Genomic DNA, 25,443 nt, shown 5'->3' on the forward strand with positions numbered 1-25,443 from the left:
GATATACTATTTTATGGCATCTAAATTTTGGAAGGAGCTATTCTTTGTGTAGGATCTCTCTGTTACTTTCGAGCTATTTAACCATGAAGAAGTCATGTAAAATTTCGGAGTCTTAGTGTCTAAATATGTAAAATTGTAATAATAAATCCCACCACAAAAGGCTATATGTAGTTGAAGTGATACCATATAAATAACATAATGTATTATTAACATTCAGCATAATTCTAAATACCTGAATATAGTTACTATTTGAAAAAATGATTTGACATTTACAACCTCAAGCTAGATACCTAAATGCAGTTGAGATTTGCAGAAATGAAATAATTATCATGCCTCTTCAGAGATAATTTAGCTTTATTTAAAGAACATGTATTTTTGATAAGTCTTTTACTAAATAATATTCTCAAGTTTTTTGTAATATAATTCACTTATATGCTTAAAGAAGCTCCAATATTCACAAAATTTTATCAACAAATGACACTCCTCCCCTGAACTTTTTCATGCACTAGAGGTATTTACATAAATAATTCATCAAGAGTGTTATAGGGTGTTGTACAAATTAAGTAAAAGACCAGACATGGTATTTATGGTCCTTTTGTGCCCAAATGCTTCATTCTAAAAGGGTTACTAAATGCAGTGTATATTGCTGTGAATGCCATAAATACCACCTCATGGTCTTGTTTCGGAAGTACTTTTCTGGAAGGTTTTTGCATTTAAGTGGTAATGAATTCTGAACTTCAAGTTCCGTGAAGCCGGATAAAAACATTTCTATTCCATTTTTACATGAGGCCATTGGTTTCACAGTATGAAAATTTCTATATTGCTTCTTGATTTTTCTTCCCATAAAAACATGCAGTAACTACAGGCTAATATAAGTATAAGGAACGTACCACATTCCTACTATGATACAATGGTTTCCTGTATATGATCCCAGAACTGTTCTGGTATCACCATTCCTTTAGCAGTGTCCTTCTTTGTTAAGGAAAACACAGTATTTACCATGATGTCCCAACTATTTAGGCTTTGAGCACATTTCAAAAGTCCACTATTACCTTGCATGGCAATTATCAGTCTGGACACTTTGAAAGATTTTATTTTCTTTGAAAGATTTTATTTTTATTTTAGTCTCCACATAAATCTATATAGAATATAGTATATATTGTAGTGTTCTTATAATGGAGAGTCAAGAATGTGCTACCTTTGTTTGGGACCTCATTTAGGCTTTCTTTTCAAGTTACCCAGTAATCTAGATCTATTTTGTGCCACCCTGCCCTCCACTGCCACCTGACAACCTAAACAGATTTTTGTTCTGAATGGTGACCTTTTCTACCTTTGCTTCACAGATCATCCTGACTTTCATTCCTACATGTAAACACACACGCACACACACACACACACACACACACACACACACACACAGAGAGAGAGAGAGAGAGAAACACATATCTGTTTTGGGCTCCTGAGTCTGTGACACTCCTCCCCAGACAGTGACCTTGAAATATACCATGAGTTTTCATACTATGAGTAAATGTGCTACTCTGTCCATAAACACTGTTGATAAGCTATGGACATGAGGGTGATGTTGAAGACCATTCCGAAAAATTACACCGTTGTTTGCCACACATTTTCTTGGAGATAGCCTATGAAGCTATTTAAGTCACTTAACCAATATTCATCTTTGAAGTAAACATGGTTTCTACTCCCTCCTGCAAGTCATGTGACACATGGTGGAAACCTAGGGAACTTTCTTTTATATCAACTTTCAGGAGAAAAGAGTGGATTCTGGGGAAAATAAAACACACTGAAACTAAAAACAAATACCAGGTATCGGGCTTTGTTTGTAGCTACACTGTTGGCCATATTTCTTTTTTTTTTTCTTTTTTCTTTTTTTTTTTCTTTTTGAGACGGAGTCTCGCTCTGTCGCCCAGGCTGAAGTGCAGTGGCACGATCTCGGCTCACTGCAAGCTCCGCCTCCCGGGTTCACGCCATTCTCCTGCCTCAGCCTCCTGAGTAGCTGGGACTTAAGGCGCCCGCCACCACGCCCGGTTAATTTTTTGTATTTTTAGTAGAGACGGGGTTTCACCGTGTTAGCCAGGATGGTCTCCATCTCCTGAACCTCATGATCCACCCGCCTCGGCCTCCCAAAGTGCTGGGACTACAGGCGTGAGCCACCGCGCCTGGCCCCATATTTCTTTAATGTTCAAATTTACTAATGTTTATGTCCTCATTTGAAACAGGCAAAGATTTGTGCTTCTTGATCACTGAATATATTAATATTTTGCAACACTAAGGATTCACTGTTTAATATTTTGTTTTCACTTTCATTCCTCTACTTACTTAAAACGTGTGTCTGAAAAGGTTTATCTGCATTTTTTTCAAATTATGTAATTTAATAAAATGAAATCAAAGGATTAGATATTTCAAATAACTCACAGCGGCATAAAGTGTTTCCAGTTATGATGTTAGAAATGTAAAAAATCAGAAAATGCTTGAGTGAAAGGAGGAATGAGAGCAACAGAGGACGTAGATGGAGGAGGGAAAGACTGGATCATGTCATTTGTATTAGATTCTATAATTTTGACTTTTGGAAAACTGCATCTCTCATCAAAAGAATATAAAAACTTTAATCGTTTTTCTAACCACCTGCATAGTATTTCATATCATGGATCATTCCTAATTTACTTAACCATTTATTGCACTTACGTGTATTTTTATAGCATTTGGTTTTCCTTTATTATAAATAATGCTTAAGTAAAAATCTTTTTATAGAGATACATTTTTGCATGTGAGTATTTCAGTATAATACATTCCTTCATGAGAAACTAACAAACCAAAAACCATGTTATTTTTAATATCACTTGGTATCTTTAAATAGGGGTCTTTCTACAAACTTTTAGTTCCCACTAATGATGTATTGAAATGGTTGCCTCTTCCCACTTCTCTGATGGGTAGATTTTAACATATAATTAATTTATTCTTGGCTGGACAGAAAGATAATCCTAACTATATTTGGAATACACTTTTTTGCATTATGAAAGAGGTAACTTTTCTGTTTAATGGCATGTGCATTTCTGTACCTATTTGGTGGTTTTTCTCTCCTTTTTTTTCTAATGTAACACTTTTCATTATTATCAATCTATAGATTCATTTTCTATATTTATGTAAACATACATAAGTCACATAGATCAACTATGTATCGACCTTTTAAAAGATTTAAAAATTAATCTTAACCTTTCACTTGCTGTACTTCTGCCTTTATACATTTTTTTTTGTTTTCCAGTGAAATTACTATCTTCAAATAAATACTTTCAAGATTTCATGTCATGATTTTGTTCAAATTTCCTGCCCTAGTATTTTAATACTGTTTTCCAAAAATTATCTTTCTCATATGTAAATATCTTTATCAAAACACACATCTTTAATTTAATTTTAATTTTGGTGGTCTCTATTGAATAATTATTTTCCAAATGAATTTAGGATAAACATGTAAATTCTATAAAAGCTCTTCTTGATATTTCCATTCTGATTGCATTGAATTACTAAATAATGTGGTGAAATCAGGTATTTCTACTAAATTGAATGTCTTCTTTAATCAAAGGTAGTTTTATACTATAGATTTCTGTGAAAGCTCCTTTATTGTATTAATAAATTATTCCATACTTGTTATGTTATTTGGGTTGGGGCAGAGACTGTTCATTTATCACCATAACACATGTTCACTGCTGAGTTCACAAAAGGGAAGAGTCCAGAGCGTGCCGCTCAACTATGTCTGAAAGGCAGAGCTCAGGGACTGGAGTTTGAAGAGAATGAATAATAATGCCAGCTAATAGTTATCGAGCACACTTTAAGCACAAGATACCTTTCTAAGGATTTTACATACTAACTCATTCAATCCTTAAAACAAACTTATGAAGTAGGTTCTATCTCTTACTATAACTTATAGATGAGGACAAAGAAAAATAATCTTTTTCAAAGTCACAGAGCAAGCACATGTTGTGTCCTGAATTCAAACCAGCTGGGTGACACCTCTGCTCATGCTCTTAATCTTTGTATTACACACTTAGAACTATTTTTTTTCTTTTACTACTGTGAAAGTACAGACTGCCACTGGATATTGTTTCTGCTTCAGAATTATTTGTTATTATTTATTCTATATTCAATAACATTTGGAAAGAGGTGTAAGACTGTTTCCATTTTTTAGAAAGATGTTGCATGGTAAATAAGAGTTTTTTCTCTGTCATCTAAAATAGCTTTTTTAATGATTTTCCAAACAATATGTGTGATTCTGAAAGCTTTTGAGATAATAGAAGAATGGTGTACATGAGGTCATCCACCGCCCCCAACCTTCTTCATTACAGGGTACTTTTCACACAGTCAGTTTGCTCTGAGATATTTTTTGGGGGGAATACTTTTTATATTTAACAAATACAATTTATTGTGAGATAAGCCAACATATTATTTAAATTTGGGTAATGTAGACAAATGAGGTCAAAGTTTTGTTACTTGCTTATTTGATTTTCCTTAGACGTAGGCATACCCTTCCTCCTCCTTCCCCAACCCTTAAGAAATATTTGAATATGCTTACTCTTATGCAAAGTGGGAAGAGATGTGATTGGAATGCAAATTTTGAGAAGTATCATGTTAATTTCTAGAAAGAGCATATTGTAGTGTAAGAATACAGTAACACTGCCTGCCAATATGTTACAGTAGACTGCAGGATTAGTTGGTTATCTAGCATGCAAAATTCAGAACTCAGGGCTCTAATTTAATTATTCTAAAATCTAATGCTACCTTGGTGAGGTAAGAGAAATCACAATACCTGGTAATGCAAAAATGAGTAAAGATTTTCTACAGCACACACATTTAATTTTCTTAGAGTAAATTATTACTTTGATTTTTGTAATGAGTTCCATTTATTAAATATTTCGGCTATAAAGTACCAGCCTACTTACTGTGTCCCAGGATGAGTCACTGTTCTCCTGATGTTAATATGTCCATGATTGTGCTAATGACAATTACTCAAAAGATAGATACAATCAAGTGGATAGATCTAACATATGTAGTTTAAGTAAAAAGTGAGAATGGGTCTGAAGGATTTACATGGGAGAAATGCCCATAGATCTAAATGGAAAGACATGGGTCATGTCAAGAGGGCGTCATTCTCAAATTGTCCTCTTTTCTTGGAGCCACACAGAATTTTTGTACCTGTGACGAGAACCTCTGTATGATGCAGAATGGGTTTGAGGTATGGCTTACCTGTTTACTTTTGGAAAGTGGGTGATGTCTTTTTTTTTTTTTTCAAACACTTTATTGAAATGAGTAAAGAAATATACAAGTAGGTAGAACTGGGTATAACTTTGGTATAATGTTAAAATTTGACCAAGTATTTTTAGCCTTCCCTTTCCCCATGTCAGGCCCTTCAATATTCCCTAAGGCTTCAGTGCATTTTACGTTAGTTGGCCTTAACTGTGCTCTTCCATTGTGTTGAAATAATCATAACCTTTGCAACCCTGTTTACTCAGAAGATGTTCCTCATTCCACCCTAAGGCTTTCCTGAATCTCCAAACAGAAGCTATTTATGCTCATCTGGCAATAATAATATGTGACCTATATGTCTTTAGGGACTTAATTTCTCATATTATGCTATTTTATATATCTTTTATACTGCCTTTGCAATGAAATGAAACTATATTCCTTCCATATATATAAACATGCATCTTGTATGCAATCAGTACTGAATACATATTTTGTTAAATTAATGGCATACGAAGCTTTTTTATTGTTTCTTGCTTCACAAATGTATATATAGATGTGTCAATAAAACAATGAGACATTTAAACTACTTCCAATTAAATGATATTTACCTTGCAAGATGAGACTGAACTCTGTTTGCTTTGTGGATTCCTTTAATGATTGATTTAAAGTAGAAGTAAAATTTTAAAAGTGAAGAATTATTACTGGATGTTAGTTGTGCAGGGAAGATAATCAGAGTGGTTGAAAATATGGGGAAGGCGGGGGTGGGAGTTGAACCACATAAGACCTATTTTAGCCCAGGTTACTGTTGAGGGACCCAGTTATACCATAAGTTGAATTATGCCAACTTAAAAACTATAAATCACATGATTTAAATTTAAGGCAGGTGTTGGACTTGACCTTTTACTCCAGCACTAAGAAAGTTTAAAACAGTGTTACTTCAGGATGTATCAGGATGGGAGTTAAGGTCTCCAGCATGATTAAAATCAGTGAAATTTAGCAGAAGCTACTGAACTATAGCAAAAGACATGAATCCAACAGACATCTCCTCCTCATCGTCACAGCATAGAACAGTTGAAAATAACAAAGACCTATTTTATCTCAGTGTCACACAGACAAGTGGCTTTACAGAATAGGATAGTTGTTGAGTGGTTGCATCCCAGATAATGGACTTGTATGTCACAGTCGAAGTATTCATCATAGTAGATGCAGGGGTTAGCTGAAAGAAAATAGTATGGTTTTACAACACAGTCTTTTAAAAATCGCATTTGCTGAGGAAAGAGACCATCTTATTAAAGACAAAAAGAGAAATTTTTATTAACAATTGCTAACTAAATTTAATTAGCATAAGCTAACTAAATCTGAATGCAAAACAGGTGATAAGATCATGTATGAAAAGAAAAAGGTAAAATTTTTGTCTTTGTGTAAAACAAGTTTTTATCACAATTTTTTAAGTCCAATATAAACAGATTGGAGAGGAATCATATTTTTAATTACACTGTCATTTTGAAAGTATTAACTATGCCATTGCAATATAAAATATTCATAATTTTTTGTCTAATTATCTAATGCTGCATTATTTAATGGTTAAAGATTTGCTTTGGATTATTAAAAGTAATGTATAGCCAATGGAAAATGGAATTAAAAAGCACATATAGGATGGCATATATAATCTCTCCATCCACCCAGAGGTTATCTCAACTAACATTCTAGTGATTTTTCTCACCTTGCTCTATCCCATGGATGTGCACGCACCTACATCCTGGTACATACAGAGGCAGAAATGCACACGAAATTCTCCAATCAGTATGAAGATACCCAAAATTTTAAATTTGTGGCAATAGCACCAAAAAGCTTACCAAAATATTTTTTGACCTGAATTCTCTATCACAACTAACCAATGTATCTATTTGTCTCTATATAAAGGCAAAAATAACAATAATTTAATTCCCTCTCTCTTTTAAGATTTTCTGACCTTTATGCAGTCCTGAATTTGAATCTTGACAATGGAAAAATTTAAATTTTCCCATTATATCTCTTATCCTTCAATTATAAAGTTTGATCATTGCATGAAATTTATAACAATCTTATAAATTTTATTTTTATTTTTATTTTATTTTTTTTTTTTTGAGACGGAGTCTCGCTCTGTGGCCCAGGCAGGAGTGCAGTGGTGCAATCTCGGCTCACTGCAAGCTCTGCCTCCCGGGTTCACGCCATTCTCCTGCCTCAGCCTCCCGAGTAGCTGGGACTACAGGCGCCCGCCATCACGCCCTGCTAATTTTTTTTTTATTTTTTAGTAGAGACGGGGTTTCACCATGTTAGCCAGGGTGGTCTACGATCTCCTGACCTCGTGATCCGCCCGCCTCGGCCTCCCAAAGTGCTGGGATTACAAGCGTGAGCCACCGCGCCCGGCCTACAAATTTTAAATTTACATTTATGTCTTACTGTTTATTATTTTAGTGAATATCCTTCTATGCTATACACATTTTCCTCTTCCTAAATTATTAAACTGATTCACCTTCCAGGAACTTGGAGAATAACTACAGTAGATTTATCAAGGTGCAACAAGGAGATGAAATATGGATGTCATATTACTGCCAGAGCAATTGTATATTTGATAGTGTATCTCTGCTTCTTTTTCCTACAATCAGTAATTTGCCAAAGTCATTACTCATTTTTTTTAAAAAATCAATTACCTATCTTTATCCTACTTTATTCTCTTATGTAGTATTCTGGTGAAATATGACTATCAGTGGATTTTTTTTTCTTTAGCAGTAACATATATTTTCTTTGAATCTGTAAAGTGTTGTAATCCGTTGTTTTCTTTTATCTGTTGTTCTTAATTTATATACTTTCCTAATATTATAAGTAAGAATTATTTTTATAAATTTTATTTGAATTACATTAAATGAATTATATCTGCATGTCTAGGTCTTACATTTTTAGCATTGTTTGTGCCCAATATGTTCAATTCTTAAGTTCATATATTCCTTTAATAGCTCTCACTTTCTCAAACACTTACAGGTGAAGAAAGGGCTTATGATATACATCATCTATGTGATATAATCAATCTTCTTGAATAACATTTCTCTTCCCTACTCTTCTTTCACTTCTATTAAATTGTTATACCACCACAGACATTGCTTTTCTCACCTAGATTCTAAAAATCTACTCAATTGCCATCCCTTCTCCTGCTAAGGCATAGGTAACTGGTTGATTTTTTTTTTTTTTTCCCGGTGGGGAGGAATCTCTCTCCATCTACATTTTTTTCCAGAAACGGGGTATAAAAAGTGAAGTGGATACAGAGAAAGAGAGAGGGAGACAGATAGAGAAGTAAATAAAAGAGTACAAGAGAAGAGAAACGAGAGAAAGGTAAAAGGAGGAAGAAGAATCCATTTTCTTTCTTACTTTAAAAGACAATAAAGTAACCTGGTTAGGTGAAGAAAAATAAGTGGCCTTTCAAGTCGGAGGTCACAGGATATTTTTCTAAGGTTTATTTTTTTCTCCACAGACTTATTACTAGTATAATTTATCTTAATCAAGATTATTCCTAGAAATTAAGAAATTATGTTTGCAGGTAGGCTTCAAAAAGTGAAATTTGGCTATCTAAGGGAATAAACAGAAATGGCACCCATTTGGCTAAAGCTTTACCTTAGGTAAGATTTATTCAAGAAATTAAAAAAAAAAAAGAGGCTTTAAGGAATAATGTGAGCATCAGCTAACTTTTTAGATGGTTCACAGGAACCAAAGAAGAATAAGGATCACTCAGTAAAAATTGCATGCCACAATAAGTGGTCAGGCAACCTGGGTAGGTAGTCATGGAGGGGCAAGCAATTGGAGAACACCGGTAAACTGAAAGCAATGGGCCTAAATTATGGGTTGCAGTAAGGGGGTCCAAGAACTTTTTAGAGAGCAGAGAAAAATCTACACTTACCTCAATATTTTATCTAGGTTGACCCTAATTAAATATTTTAATCTGTTGGGTGGGAACTCGAGTTCTCAGACCTAGACTTTGTAATTTCCTTTGCCATAGGTTAAATCAATGGTTTTCAGTCACTCTGGCAATTGGGGAGGGGTAAGCAGAAATAATTTGTACATGAATGAGATGAAAGTTGTAGAAAAGTGCGATGTTTTTTAATGCTTAATTTAAAGGATGTATGGTTCCCAGATCAATGGGTTAACTGTAAACAAACAGAATGCAAACAAACTTACTGCAAAGTTTGTCTTCACAGTTACTTGGGCAGGCTTCACATGGGACGCCTGTCTTATAAGGTTCATTCTTTGTTTCAGGATCATTTCCCCTTGAATAAAAAAAAGTGATTTCATAAAACCCATCTTTGAAAAACTCACATAAAACTTTACTCACAGTGTACAACCAATTTTAAAAACAAATTGTGTAAACATTCTTGTAAAGAACAGTGATAATTTTTAAGATGGGTGTGAGATTTCCAATCTTACAGCTATAATATTTTTTAGCACGTAGAACCAATAAATGTGAGTGACATGAAAATATTTTTCAGTCAATGTGCACATCTCGTTGGACAGTCAAGTCCTAACAGTACTTGGGAACTTTGGGTACTCCCAAGTACAAGCAAGGGGACTCACAAGCAAGAGGGCTTTAGAGCCAATTACAATAGAACATTCTTCATTAATACCTATAAGGACTTGGTAAACCATCATTTAAAAGGGCATGATTCTTACCAATGTTAAGAAGAAAATCTCAAGTGAGGCAAGTTAGAGAGGTTCTAACTCCATCTTGCACTATGTTATAAGAAACTTTTTACATGTTAATGTCTTTTATTGAAAGAGATGGTGTATATAAAAGATGAAAGTACATCAGCATGGATAAAACTAAAGTGCTGGGGTGTGGGAAAGAAAGTAGATGAGAAGTTCTAGTTCTGGACTAATTTGAAACTTTAGAAAAGACGGGCAGGGCTCAATGACTTATCCCTGTAATCCCAGCACTTTGAGAGGGCAAAGTGGAAGGATTGCTTGAGCCCGAAAGTTTGAGAAAAGCCTGGGCAAAAAAAAAGCATCTTCATATCTACAAAAAAAAAAAAAAAAAAAAAAAAAAAAATTAGTTAGGCCTGGTGGCGTATGCCTGTAGTTCCAGATACTTGGAAGGCTGAGGTGGGAGGATAGCTGGAGCCCAGAAGGTCAATACTACAGGGAGCTATGTTGACACCTCTGCACTCCAGCCTGGGTGACAGAACAAGGCCCTATCTCAAAAGGAAAAACAAAAAAGAAAAGACAATTCTTACCCATGTATGTCTAAAAACATAATGTAGATAATATCTGCTTCTAAATACAACTTTAAAAAGTAAATGTTCTGGTTTTAAAAAGCCTTTTTAAATATGATATTTGTTTATCTGAGCTGCTAAAATTTCACTTTGAAAAGAAGATTATTACTAAATTCAGTAAGAGATTTAATGAGAGACTTGGACTAATCTTCAACCAAGAAAATTCCCCATCATAGATCTCCATATTTTGTACTTTTCTTTTTTGGATCAGTTGAAGTTCACTGCAGACTACCAACCCTTGAAAACATGTATCACAAATGATGTGTTGTAGCAGCAAAGAGATTTTATTGTCTTCAGCACAATTTATATATAACTCATATAGAGTTATTATATGGTGATATTACACTCTGAATCAATAGTGATAGTGGTGGCGCCACTGAAAATGTGAAGTATGGCAGTGTGTTTTCAAATAAATCATGTTCATTGATTTATACTGAACATTTTGTATTGTGCTACATACATGGGAGGCAGTGGTTAAGCACCATGCATTGAGTTCACATTATGTAGGAAAGACTTATGTGTTAATCTAAGAAATACATGTAGCTGAAGGAGATATATGATGGCGTCACTGACTTTTATCAGCAGAAGTGCAGAAGTGATATTGAACTGGCATTTGTAGTCAAATATCAGGCAGTTCTATCCAGCTCTGAATAATCTTCACTTTTCTGATAACCGTCACTGGAGCCACACAGTTGGGCCCTGCAGTCATCCTTGTCTTACTTGATCTTGCTTCATAATCACAGTTGATAGGAGAAGAAGGTGCAGCAGAACCTTACTGAAACAATCAGATTAAATTTTCTAGGAATTGTGACTAGTATCTGTGGTAGAATCTGTAACATGTATATTTAATTTTTAAAGAGAAGACATGCAACAACTTTTTGACTAGATAGCTAAATACAGGGAAAGACACTTGGCTCTTTCTATTTGTTTCCTTGTTAAGACTCCACTGCATGTCTGTCCTTTTGGTCTAACAATACTCTTGTTTTGTTGAAGTAAATGTCCTTGTTTCTTTGCTTAATCAAATTTGTTTCTCTTATATAATAATTACCTGAAGAATCAATGACACATAGGAAGACTGCTGGTAAATTGCTCTGAAAATATATTGGAGTTTTTTTTAAATAAGAGAAAATACAGTCAAAGGAATAAAATAATATATAACTAAATATGTGTTTTCACATAACTAGGAAGTAGTCAAGACTCAAACTACAGATTGTGTAACCATTCATCTTTGAAGGACATCTGGGTTATTTCCAGCTCTTGTCTATTATGAATAAAGTTGCTACAAACATTTATGCACACAAAAAAACAATGTTTGAAAAACTAGATTAGGTTACTTTAGGGGGATATATATTTTAAAAACTAATAATACATACTCATGACAATAGTGACAAACGTAGAGATATCGAGGTGATCCTTGTTGGCGGCAAGATGCAATGGCACAGCCAATCAGGTAAGATGTGGCCCAAACAATCTGCAATGATAAAGAGTTGTTTTATTACAGATTAAATATTTTACTAAATGACTATAATATCCATATTGTCATCCATGATTAAAAGTAAACATGTTGCTTTTAGGTTTACTTTGGGCATGGCTTAATAAGAAGTCATAGAAACAAAAGGACTCCCACGTGTCTGGATACCACACATGCATGTACACGCACATAGCTGCACACAATGGAAACCAGGTGGAGAAAATCAGCTGACGGGGAGGATGACTTGATGATTGACATTGTCTCTATTTTTTGTCAGTTTTTCTTTTTGAAAGTAAGTTGGGCTTCTAGATGTAATTTCTAATTTTAACAAAACCCAATGTTCATTTTCTCTGGGATAGGAGAGATGGGTAGAGAGAGGGTAAAGGTCCAAAAGGTAGCGTTGATCATTTTGCTATGAACAGGCTGATGTTCAAAGAGGACTTGAGTGTTGCCTTTCTGTACATGGGCCGTACATGACTGTGCATGGGATTCATTTCTCTGATCTTATCCAGTATACTCAGGGATGATCAAAACTCTGTGTCAATTCTCCATGACTCATTGGAACGAAACATGAGTGGCTGTCATCAACGCTGGCTCATTCTCCCCTTCTCATCAAATTTATGTGGACAAGATAACTTATCAGTTTACATAATGAAGGCTGCTTGGTGGTTATATAAAAATCAAAGCTTGGAAGAAACTTTTCTTATCGGTCAGTGAACAGGCATACTGTAGAGTACTGAGTTGGTTTTTGAGGAAAAGTGAGCCAGGTTTAAATTCCATCATTTACTTCTTGGGTAGGGTATACTTAGAAGTTTGCTTTATGCCTCTGAGTTTCATTTTCTCAGCTGTAAAATGGGATACAACAACGCTGTCCTCTACATCATAAGTGAATGGTAGGATTAAACATTCAAATATTTAAGTGGTTCAAAAGGAGATGTTTTCAGTAAGTGTGATTGTTCTCACTCGCCCTCCCTGCCTTATGTGAGCCTGGGTAGCTTTCTCACAGTCCTAGAGACTTTCCTCACATTTCTGTTCATGTTCTTGATTAGAGAACATGTTTGTATGACTCTTTTAGATAAAATATTGTTTTCTCTTTACAAAGAGAGTCATGCATGGGTGCCAATCTCTCCACACCATATGGCTTTTAATTATCTGCGGCTAACCTAGGCTTTTACTAAAACTATTGCTCTATCTGGGCATAAAAATTTTATAATGTAGATTCTTTGTTTGCAGGTTCTTACTAACATTTTCTACCAATGAGTATTTTCCGTAAGAGACCCTGTTGAACTCAGAATCTAATGGAGCACATAACCTGAAACATGATTTTAATAAAAATGCAGCTGAACATCTATTTTGCTATGTTCTCTCTCTATATTAATTGGTAATAAGATTATTGAACTTAATTTATTCATTTATTCTTTTAACTCATAGCAAAGAAAAATTGAAAATGAAACTTTTTTCATTAGGTCTTCAGACACAAATGATTGTAGAAAAAGAGCTTTTATTTTACAAAATTTTTCTATGAACATACTAATGTATTTATACAAGGCTACAGAAAATGTCGGAAAATGTCTGGAAAAGCCTTGTGGTATATTCCCCCACTGGGCCTGCTGTCATGGGCTTACTCACCTTCGCATTAATGTTCTTGCTGTTCAGTTCATTCTGCTTGGAACCCTGTATTCTGCTACTTGCCCTTCCCTGCGCTCAGCTGCTTCTGATTTTTAGAACATTAGGTGAAATGAAGTTCCCATCTCTCAAGTGCATATGAAAGATTAAGAGCTGTGTAAAGACCACTTGACTAGGATTCAGATCTGGGTTCTAGTCCTAGCTCCTCCATTTGCTAGTCATGAGAGGAATCCATAACTGGTGGAATGTAAAATGTTTCTATATTCTACTGTGTTAAATTTTAAGCAAATGAAAGCGAATTTCTCTGATTTCATTGTCTTCATTCCTGGAAACAGGAAATGAGAGAAATCATTTTGATAAAACGTGTTCTATTTTGAAAGTGACACCGATTCACTTTGAAGGAGACAAATCAAGATTATCTGAAGGTGATGGAATTCAGTTAATATACCACAGCGATGAGATAATGCTTTTGTGATAAAATTAGTGTGTTAGTTGACTTATATAGGAAATAGAAGGTTTGAATCCAGGCCACAAATTTCTTAGATTTTTAGCTTTCTAGATATTTATTGTATTTTTATCCTTTAATCCTTTGATAAGGTAAATTATATGATTAGTTTAATGTTAAGATACTCCTGGATTCCTGCCACATACCCTTTGTGTCTAAGTGTATCAATCTTAAAAGAAAATGCTATTTACTAGTGTTTTATTTAGGATTTCTGCATTAATTTCTGTGATTATGCCTCTTTTTTATATGCTTTATCTTCATTGGCTTTTAACATCAAATTTAAGTAGGCTTTATTTCAAGTGGATTTTATTTTAGATTTTGTGTAACTTACCAATGGGCACATGTGAGAACATAGTGAAAGGAAGCAGTCTTTAAGCCAGAAGGAGAATCCTCTCAAGAAACTAACTATGCTGGCACTCTAATCTTGGACTTCCAGCCTTTGTGAATTCAATAAAATAAACTTCTGTGGTTTAAGTCATTCAGGAATGTGATATTTTGTTATGGTAGACTGAGCACACTAAAACAGATTTTGGTATCAAGAACTGAGATGCTGCTTCAACAAATACCTAAAAATGTGGAAGCAGCCTTGGAATTGGATAATGGGTAGAGACTGGAAGTTCTTAAGTGCATGCTATAAAAAGTGTAGATTGCCTTGAGGGGAGTGTTGATAGAAATAAGGGCATTAAAGTCTATTTTGTTGTGGTCTCAGATATAAATGAGGGACATGTACTTGGAAATTGGAAGAAAGGTAATCTTTGTTACAAAGTAGCAAACAAAATGGCTGCTGCCTTGTCTTCTAGTGTTTTGTGGAAGGCAGAAGTTGTGAATAACAAACATAGAAATTTAGCTGAGGAGATTTCAGAGCAAAGGATTGAAGGAGTGGTTTGGTTTCTCCTCATCACTTATAGTAACCTACAAGAGGAGAGCAAGCAATTGAAGAAATCTTTATGCAAGGAAGAACCAGAACTTGAAGATTTACACAATCATTAGCCCATCTATATTGCAGAAAATGAGAAAGTATTTTCAAAAGAGAATCCTAAGGATGTCGCTGAACAACCATTAGATAAAGACACCATGGATATGATTTATGGATTTAATCATACATCTCAGCAGAAATAGAGGTGTGATTATGCAGTGGAGGTACTGCCAGTTTGAACTAAAGTGGACAGAGAAAACAGACCCAAGTGAAGGAAGGCTGTCCGACTTCTTAGACTCTTCAGAATGACATGATAGAGATATTTCACTTCAAACATGCTTTATCTTTCAAGAAAAGGGAAGAATGACTCCCCAAATGTTTCAGAGATCATGAGGGCTCCCATGCCCACTACAGGTCCAGGGAGCAAGGCTGCTTCCTGCTTAGCTTCAAACAGTGTTGTCCCTGCAGATGATCTCTGAAAACAGCCATGTTAGCAGGGCCTCTTCTGAGAGTCATTTGATGAGGCTGCCTCACTGAGCTAAAGGGAAGAGGCTGCCTCACTGAGCTAAAGGGAAAAGGCTGCCCACAGAGCCATGGGTGATGCTGCCTCCAAGTTGGCCAAGAGTGCAGAGCATCAAACCAAAGAGAATTATTCTCAAGCCTTACTATCACATGAAATTTCTTTTGCCTGGTTTTGGATTTGCCTGGGACCCATTGCTGCTTCCTTTTCTATTTCTCTCTTTCGAAATGAGAATGTCTATCCTATGCCTGTCTTTCTGTTGTACTATGGAAGCATATAACATTTTTTGTTTCATAGGTTCACTCCTGGCGAGAAATTTTACCTCTGGATGAATCACATCTTGAATCTCATGCATTTAGATAATATTTAGGTAAGACTTTGGGCCTTAGACTTTAGAGTTGATACTGGAATAAATTAAGAATTTGAGGGCTCTTGGGATGGAACGAATCTATTTTGCATGTGAGGAAAAAATAAATTTGTTGGGGAGGGGCAATGGTACAATGTTATGAGCTGAATTCTTCCCCCAAAATTCGTATTCTGTACCTCTAACTTCCATCCAGTGTAGCTGTATCTGAAAATAGAGTTTCTAAGGAAATAATTAAGATTAAATAAAGTCATACGACTTGGGCCCTGTTCCAGTAGGATTTGTGTCCTTACATGAACAGATGCTAGACAGCTTGCTCTTATGGTCTCTCTTGTCTCTGTCTCTATCCTTGACTCTCTCTGGCTCCTCTTTTGCACTGGGGAGAAGCCATGTTAGGACATTGTGAGAAGGTGTCAGGCAGAAAGCTTTCACTAGAAACTATGCTCTATTAAGATCATAGACTTCTAGGATACAAAATGTGGGAAAATAAAGTTCTGTTGTTTAATCCACCCAGCTGTGGTATTTTGTTATGGCATCCTAAGCAGATTAATAGAGCAAAGATGTGAAGAAATTGCAAATTTTGTAAATTGCTGGTGGGAACGTAAAATGGTGCAGCTGCAACAGAAAATATAATAGTACTCCAGTTTTTCAAATAATAAACACAGTATTCACATATGATCCAGTAATTCCTCTCCTTGGCATATGCCCAAAACAATTGAAAGCAAGCACTCAAACAGATATTTTCACACCAATATTTAAAGCAGTATTATTCACAATAGCCAAAAAAAAAAATGGAAACAACTCAAATGCCCATCAGAACAGACAAGCAAAAGGTGATATACACATGCAATGAAATAGCATTTAGCCTTAAAAAAAAGAATACAATTCTGACACATGCTACAACATGGATGAACATGGATTTAATATATCATGCTGAGTGAAATAAAGCAGACACAAAAGGACAAATATTGTATGTTTCCAAATTTATGAGGTACTTTGAGTAGTGAAATTCACAGAGACAGAAAGTAGAGTGGTAGTTGCCAGAGGTCTGGGGAAGTAGGGAGAGGAATGGAAGGTATTGTTTAATGAGTACAGAGTTTCGGTTTGGGAAAATGAAAATATTCTGGCGATGGCGTTGCACAACGATTTGAGTGGACTTATTGCCACTGAACATTCATGCCACATTAATGCTGAACATGAAACCATTTAAAATAGTTAAAATGGTAATTTTTTAAATGTATATCTTACCACAATAAAACTAAAGTTAGAAATCAGGGGTTTCTCTGTATTGTAAGGTACCATTATTTTCACTTTTACAAATACTACCAATATCAAATGAGATTGATGTCTTATGATTTTGTGAGTTCCTGAAAAATCTAGTGAGTAAAGAAGGATACTAAGAGGTTAAGCATCTTCTCTAAGTCGTATTTTGAACAGAACACTTCCTTCTATTTCAAATTATAAGAGGAACTCAGTAAATTGAGTAAAGATTGCCATAAGAAGGTAGAATGATTTTCAGTTGTTTCTTAGTTACGTTTCCACACACATGCTTATCTCTTAAACAATGTGTGTGTTTGCCAGCACACAGGTTACCTGAGTGTAGTGGTCAGTAGTTATGTCATCATCCGTTGTTGTCCATTCTCCATGTTTGAAACTTGTAGACTCACTGTACCAGACTCCAATTACACTTGACCATGATACAGGATAAGATGTCATATGCATATTTTCTCCACAAAAGGTATCTGAAATGAGAAAACGGGCTGGGTCATACTCTGAACAAATGGGAAATAGTATACAAGGAGACTTTCCTCATTTTTATTTTATGAATGGTTCACTGATCATCTTGACAACATCTTCTGAGAGGGAGTAAAATAAGTTGTATCCCCACTGAAAATCTTTCTCATTGATGAATGAGCATGTGGTACTCAAGTTTGGTGAAACGTTGATAGTAGGTGATGAACAAGTTTTGAAATCAAATCATCAACATTTCAGTCTCTGCTGCTTCCAAGCTGCTTTAGATAGGTGAAACCAAATCAGAGAAGCATAAGAGTGCTAACAGGGTCTATGGCTTAAAGGAAGCTACACACAGGTGTTCATAATACAAAGATGTTGAATAAACATTTGTTTATTTAGCCATTCATGTATGGTGTGGGCTTTTGGTTGAACATGGTATTCAGGAGTATCTGTCTTTTCTTAAGGCAGGCAGGAACCACTTTGCTAATTCACTGCTAAAAAGCATTGGACTAAGATTCCAAATAATCTGTAGATATAAATGTGAATCAGCATTTTTAAAACATGTTAATTAAAAAAAGATTCTCATGTTAAAATATAATGTTTATTCCTGAGTGAAGGTGATATAGTTTGGATGTCCCCTCCAAATCTCATGTTGAGATGTAATCCCCGTGTTGAAGGTGGGGCCTGACCGGAGACGTTTACCTCACGGTAGTGGATTCCTCAAAGAACTTGGTGCTGTCTTCATAATGGTGAGTGAGTTCTCATGAGATCTGGTTGTTTAAAAGTATGTGGCACCCCCCAACTCTCTCTCTCTTGCTCCCTCTCTCACCATGTGAGACACTTGCTCCCCCTTCACCTTCTGCCATGATTGTAAGCTTCCTAAGGTCTCACCAAAAGCCAAGTAGATGTGGGTGCCATGCTTCCTGTACAGCCCGCAGAGTCATAAGCTAATGAAATCTCTTCTTAATAAATTACCAAGGCTCAGGTATTTCTTTACAGCAACACAAAAACAGCGTAACACAGAAGCAATAATGTTTTTTTTTATTATTTCCTGGAAACTAGCAGTAAGTTACCTAATTTATATGCTTTAAGATGGGCTCATTTTTGAGCACCTAAAATTGTCTTATGGGCAGCTGAGCAGGGCTGCATATAACTTATTTCTCAACTGCATTATCGTTCCAAAGCTAAGCAGATCCCCATGGTGCTATTGTTCAGTAGCTATAGTAACTCCACAGAATGGAGACCTAGGTTTCTAGCTGCTCACTCCACTCTTCTGCAATACTGAGATTTTTTATTCATTTCTCCTGATGGTCAGAACTTGGAATCTGAAAACTCCAGAACTTGGAATCTGAAAACTTAAAGATATAAACCTTAAAAATTAATGAGTTAAAACAGTGTAATAGTCCACAATTCACTGCCTTGTATGACCCAGTGCAAATGAGGAAATCTAGATGACTTAATTTACTTTCATCAGGGTACATAACAATCCCTGTTTTACTATTTTTTTTTTTTTTAGTCCAAAGGCGGGTCATATAGATACACACTTACTTGGAAGTCTCCTCTCAAGGGGGTTGCTCTCTGTCATATCACAATACTTTGAAAAAATTCTGGCATTTTGTGCAGCCTCTTCACTCCAACTCTGTAGTGGAAAGAAAAAAAAAGCACATGTTCCAATTAATATTTTCATAAGATTCTAATTTATTGTTTTTAATAATCCACGAGATATAATATCTTCAATTGTATCAACTAGAAATTTAAATAATGAGATTACTATTAAACGTTCTAGTAGAAAGAGAAAGACAACAATTTCAATTTATTATGTTGGCCCTTGAATTCACAAATTCAAAACTTGGTAATTACATTCAGAGATAGATTCTCTCTCAGATGTAGTAGAGAATTTAAGTAAATGCTTCCAGGGAAACAGACCAGAGTTACTTAGTAATTTATTTGTAGTTTAAACTCAGACATGTTATTTTATCTCTTTGAATCTCAGTTTATCCATCTGGAAACTGTTACCTGTAATTTATGCCCAAAGGTTTGTTCAAATGTGATATTCCAAGGAATACAACTGAGATGTGACAAATCTTCTGTATTGAATAAATGCTGGCTGTGATTAGAAGCAAGTATAGAGTCATATTTCCATCTAAAATTATGAATAACAAAAATAAAAGCTAACACCACATGCCAGAATCTGTCACCAATTCTGTGTGTATCTTCTCTCACTTTAACCTCATGGCAACTCTACAAAAAAAAAATATTATATCCATTTGTAAATAAGGGAAATAAGGCACAGAGATGTTAAGTAACTTTTCGGGGTCACACTATAAATAACTGACAAAATAAGAATTTGAATCCACTTAGGATGGCTTCAGAGTATGTGTTCTTGACTCTCAGTGTGCATCAACTGTGCTGAGTTGAAGCATTTGGTCAGGTATGACTAAGTAACAGCTGTTCTCCCAATGCAGAAAGGGAGAAATTCTGCATCTGTAAGTATGACACTCTGTGATAAATGATCTCCCTAACAGTCTCCTATCATTGTGGTGTATATGAAACTGCCCAATTTTTACAAAGAACTGAGCCTATGAACATTTGTCTTATCTGAGTTCCTTTGTCAGGAAACCCACCATCGGGCCCCGCAGGTGGTAGCAGGGAACTGAGGCTTTCCTGATCACCACACCTGGTCAAGGAGACACAGCTGCTGCCTGTTGACCAAATCCTCTTCCTTGTCCCTCTTGTTTTCTGTCCCTCCTATATAAACTTTTAACTTTGGTTGGTTAGGGAGAGGGAGGGATTTGACAGTCAGGCTGACATCACCCTCATGAAAGCCTTTCTTCCCAGGCAATGGGCAATACTCATTTTTGTGCTGCAAGCAACTAGACCTTGGCTGAACCCCTGGTGTTCAGCAGCATATACATCCATTTAAAAGAATACCCTTATATGTGCATATAACAGATTGCCAACAGAAGTCATAGAGTTTGTTTTTACTATAAGTTTTTATGTAAATCATTCAGCTACTGTTTAGACTGTTTGGAGGACACTCATTTTCAGTGTCGTCCTGAGCATGTAGTTTAATTATAATATGTATTTGCTGCCATCTTGTGGTCAATGTTTAGAATTACCCTTGGGGTTGATGAATTTACTAAACCGTGAGATGAATTAAATAACTTATTAGCCTAGCACTGGGTAAAACCATGGTTTTGTAGGTTTTGATAGTTTCAAACAAAAAAAAATATTTTAGTCATGGCTATGTCTAACTGATAAGCAGAGAGGACACAACACATCTACCAGTGTATAGCCTCTCTGGGCTGGGGGAATACCATGGCATTCACTACTAAGAACAAAAAACCAAACACCGCATATTCTCACTCATAGGTGGGAATTGAACAATGAGAACACATGGACACAGGAAGGGGAACATCACACTCTGGGGACAGTTGTGGGGTGGGGGGAGGGGGAGGGATAGCATTAGAAGATATACCTAATGCTAAATGACGAGTTAATGGGTGCAGCACACCAGCATGGCACATGTATACATATGTAACTAACCTGCACATTGTGCACATGTACCCTAAAACTTAAAGTATAATAATAATAAAATAAAATAAAAAAAGAAAACTTACCGGAACTGGAACTTATCTGGTTAAAATATAGCAGGATGTTTGCACTTTGAAGATGATGTATAGGACATTACCTCTGATTAATGTTGGTGAGATACTCCTTTTTTGAGACATATTCAAAATTAAAATTAAAGTTTGTATTTATGATCGTACCAAAGCTCTGAATTCCAGCTTTAACAAGTGACTCTACTTAGGTTCTAATATTGTGTTCAGAAACTTTTTTTTTTAAAGAAAATCTCTGCCTGGTAATTGTGGTTAACTCTTCAGTCCTATTGTTCCTTAAATTTGCTGTTGCTACTTCTAATCCTATACATGTCCTATGCATTGTTTGTGGAGCAGCTGAACTCTCGTATTTCCTTTGAAATATTTCTCAGTTTTACTGGTACACTTACTTTTATCGTCTTCTTGATATTTCATATCTTTTTGTGTTAGTACTTGAATATATGTATTCTTGTATTTTTCCAGTGTTTTTTCTGTATTTGCCTTTCATCTCCAATCTGAAATCGGAGGCTATATTTTTTACTTTTCTTTAACTCTGTTTGTACCTCCTAGGTAAACTTATTTGCTCATCTGGCAACCAAGGAATTTGGACTCTACTTCTCCAGCTCCTCAGATCTGGCCCACTTGCATTTTAATCTGGGCCCCAGTCCTTAAGATTTTGAATAAGCTACTCAATTTTTCTTAGGTTCAGTGTCATAATATGTAAAATGAAGACAATTTTATTGGGAGAAGGAAGTGAGTTAATGTAACAAGGTATTAGAAAAATGCCTGTAAATAATAAACACATGTATGTTGGCTACAACACCATGCAGGAATGCCTATGAAAGCTATTGATTTTTATTTTTAGTTCAAATACCCCTTTGGATTTTAAAGTGATTAAGAGATAAATCTCAAAATCATTTATGTATTTCCTTGTTTCATCCTCTTCATCATTTGCAAGAGAAAGGTGCTCCTTAGAATCACCCTCCAGAGCCTGCACTATTTCTAACCCTTGTTGCTACAGGCCGGTCCAGGGTTCAAGGAAGCAGGCTGAGGGTGCTCATGAAACTGAGTGATACTGCTGGATAACAAATGTGAGGGTAATCACCTAAACACCTGAGACTTCCCTAAATTTGTCTTGTAGCAGAGCATAGCAGGTTTATAATGAAATAATTTCTCTTCCTATTTATGGGATGCAATGAAACTGGGGGATAAATTTGCCAATATTTATTTACCTGGCCACATCAACTAACTAGATATCTGGATATTTTAATTCTAGGAAGAGTGTCTTAGCCTCTGGACTACTGCCCAATGAAGACAGCTATGAAATGCATGGATAACTTGTTAATCAATATTTGTCGTGTGTACTGGCAGCATCAGCATCAGCTGGGAGCTTGTGGTGGTCTCCAGGTCAGACCTCATGAATCAGGATATCAGAGAGTGAGACCCAGGAAAGTGTGCTTTACTAAGTTCTTCAGGTGATTCTTGAGTACATTAAAGGTTGAGAAGCACTGTCTTAGGGTGTGGAGGAATGAAGCTAGACTGGCTGAGCTCTGTCATTGACTAACCATATAATCATCAGAAAGTTACTTACCTTCTCTGGACCTCTGTTTCTTCTGCTATGTAAAAGATTTGTTGTGAAGATAAAACTTTTAGCACTTTGAAAGTGCATAGAACTTAATAAAACTCAGTAAACACCATTACTATTATTGCAATCATGGTTGTTGCTATTTTTTGATCTTACCATCTTCAGCATGTTGCTGGCTGGTGGAACTACTCTTCTCCTGAGGGCGTTGTGTATATTAACGATCTCTTCTTGTACATTTGGCAAGTCGGTGACGAGCTTATTAAATTGGTCTCTAGCTGATTTCTTCTGTTACCAGAAAAATATTAATTAGTGTTACTTCTTTTAAGTGGAATTTGTCACATATATTTTGCAGACCTATAGGTAATGCAAATTTATAGTTTATATTAAACAGTGATTTATAGCATTTTTGAATTTATAATGTCTCATTATATTGGATTCCATTTCTCCAGTACTAATTTTGAGGATTTCTCAACGTCAGGCTGACATCACATTAGTCTTCAGAATAATGCACTTGTTATCCTGTTATTAGGGTTTTTCCAGGTTCATACTTTGGACCATGTTGAAGCACTTTTTATTGGGCAATAAGATCCACAAAGGGAGATATCTTAAAATCACACCTGTTACTTACTTCTCTGGCTTATTCTCCACATCTCCCACCCTGCAACAACTGTACTCTCTGCTTCCCAAATAAACTACTTCCACTTGAACCCTTGTGTAGAGGTGTGTGTCTGGGGTAACCCAAACTAAGAGATTCATTATTGAGGACAAAGTTGCAAGTGTTATTAACACAAATTCTATGTCTTCTTACTGTTCATATGAGAAAACATCAATGCTCTCAAGTGTATGTGTGAGAGAGTAAAACATAGAATTCAAATTCAGCCTATAATCTTGAATTTGTGACCGTTCTTTTCATTTATTTATTTTTTATTCTGAAACTCACTAAGAAGAAAAATACATGACCAAAGTATTTAGGTTAGCATTAATCGCTATAAAGAGAATCTTTGTGTGTGTGTGTGTGTGTGTGTGTGTGTGTGTGTGTGTGATATCACATGTACTTCATACCTTTTTTAAAAAATGTGGCAGAACTAATGTACTATAATGTGAGGGGTGTCTGTTGCTTCCTTAACTACCACATGACCATCAGCACAATTTATGAATGAATACGATCTAGCATCATAACTTACACAATATATAGAAGTATTCACTGTCATTTATATCAACAGTTTAGGGTAAGGGGAGAAAACTTAAATATGGAATTCAGAAGACTCCTCTAGAGACTGTCTCTGTGGACATACTCACATGATGTCACTTTTTTCTCACATTGCAAGTCATGCTGATTTGGACTAGAGGACAGGCTGCGGACCCACATGATTCCACATACTATTTCCAGATTACAACTCTCCTTGCTCCTCTCAAAATCTCTGCTGCAGGGAAACTCATGACATTTTCCTCTCACACCTCATTCCTGAACATTTATTTAACATCCTATCATGGATTTTTTTCTTACTTCCTCTCATTCCTGGAAATTGGGTTTCCTGAAACGAATTCATCTTTTCCACCCAGATTTCTGAAGTCAACTCAAAGGACTTCAACATCCACATGGATGAATCCAACCCTTTGATGTCTCAGGCCCTTAAAATCTTCCTCCTTTAGACTTCTCCTTCAGTCCTCTTTATCCTCACTTTAATGGTCACCTACTATATCTCATGATCATCCCAAAACACCATACCTCCCAAATCACCTGGTCAAGCATTTCCCTGCCTGATTGGAATTTCCTGTTCTTCCAAGTTGCCACGATCAGCCATTCTGACTGTTCTTTAATATAATCGAGCCTTCTAACTCATTCTTCATTTTCTCTACTAGCCCTCTCTTGTCTTTCCTTTCATCTCTATCTGTGTTCTCTACTTTCACAACTCTCCTTTTGCAATATTGAATCTTTTGTCTGCACACCATCATCTAGAAATGCCTACCTAAAACATCCCAACTTCGGATGAGACTGACAATTCTCCTGCCTGTTCTATCAGCTGAGCATTGCCAGAAAAATGTCTCACAAAACAAAACAACACATATCTGCATGACCCCAAATCAGTAAGATTGACCTCAAATAGTTCCTTAACTCTGCTAATCAATTCTAATGAATTGTTTGATTAACTCACTCTGTCACTCTCCACATTATTGTAGAACTTTTGCAATCTCCCCCATTCACAACCACCTTCTCTCAACAGAATGTGAAATATCCTTCTTCCCTCAGTAAAGAGAAGCCATCAGAGGGCAGCTGCTTCAACTGTCTCACCCAGTCTGTCAATCTACCTGTATCTGTCCCCTTTCTTTCCTCCTCTTCTGTGGTACAAGTGAATGGGTCATTCTTTCTAATCTTTCTAAGGCTCAATTCTCCAACAGTGTTATTTAGTCCATTCTCTTCTACCATTCCCCCAAATCTTACATTATTTACTTTTCATTTTGTTTGCTGTCAGCCACTCTTTCTTTTTGGCCCTTCCCAGCAGTGTTTATTTATGATTATGCAGCTTATATCTCTTTTTTTGAGAAGAAGTCTCACTCTGCTGCCAGGC

At 35.7% G+C, this 25,443-nt stretch overlaps 1 protein-coding gene across 6 annotated transcripts in view; it reads right to left on the minus strand.

Annotated features, from left to right (window-relative positions):
• Positions 1-5,285: 5,285 nt before the first annotated feature.
• The window catches only part of CRISP1 (cysteine rich secretory protein 1), a 42,840-nt gene continuing 22,682 nt past the window's right edge, over positions 5,286-25,443 (minus strand). For 2 of the 6 annotated variants that reach the window (NM_001205220.2, NM_001131.3), the window contains exons 3-8: positions 23,030-23,158; positions 19,238-19,328; positions 17,549-17,697; positions 11,927-12,024; positions 9,466-9,554; positions 5,286-6,472 (exon numbers count right to left, since the gene is read on the minus strand). In NM_001205220.2, the coding sequence (NP_001192149.1) occupies positions 6,345-6,472; positions 9,466-9,554; positions 11,927-12,024; positions 17,549-17,697; positions 19,238-19,328; positions 23,030-23,158 (684 nt within the window). In that variant the 3' untranslated portion in view covers positions 5,286-6,344. Of the gene's footprint in view, positions 6,473-9,465; positions 9,555-11,926; positions 12,025-17,548; positions 17,698-18,391; positions 18,416-18,580; positions 18,678-18,762; positions 19,060-19,237; positions 19,329-23,029; positions 23,159-25,443 lie in introns of those variants that run through there. The other 4 variants (NM_170609.2, XM_017010320.3, XM_011514315.4 and 1 more) reach the window with 4 other exon arrangements.

Source organism: Homo sapiens, chromosome 6, assembly GCF_000001405.40.
Source record: "Homo sapiens chromosome 6, GRCh38.p14 Primary Assembly".
Lineage (NCBI taxonomy): Eukaryota > Metazoa > Chordata > Mammalia > Primates > Hominidae > Homo > Homo sapiens.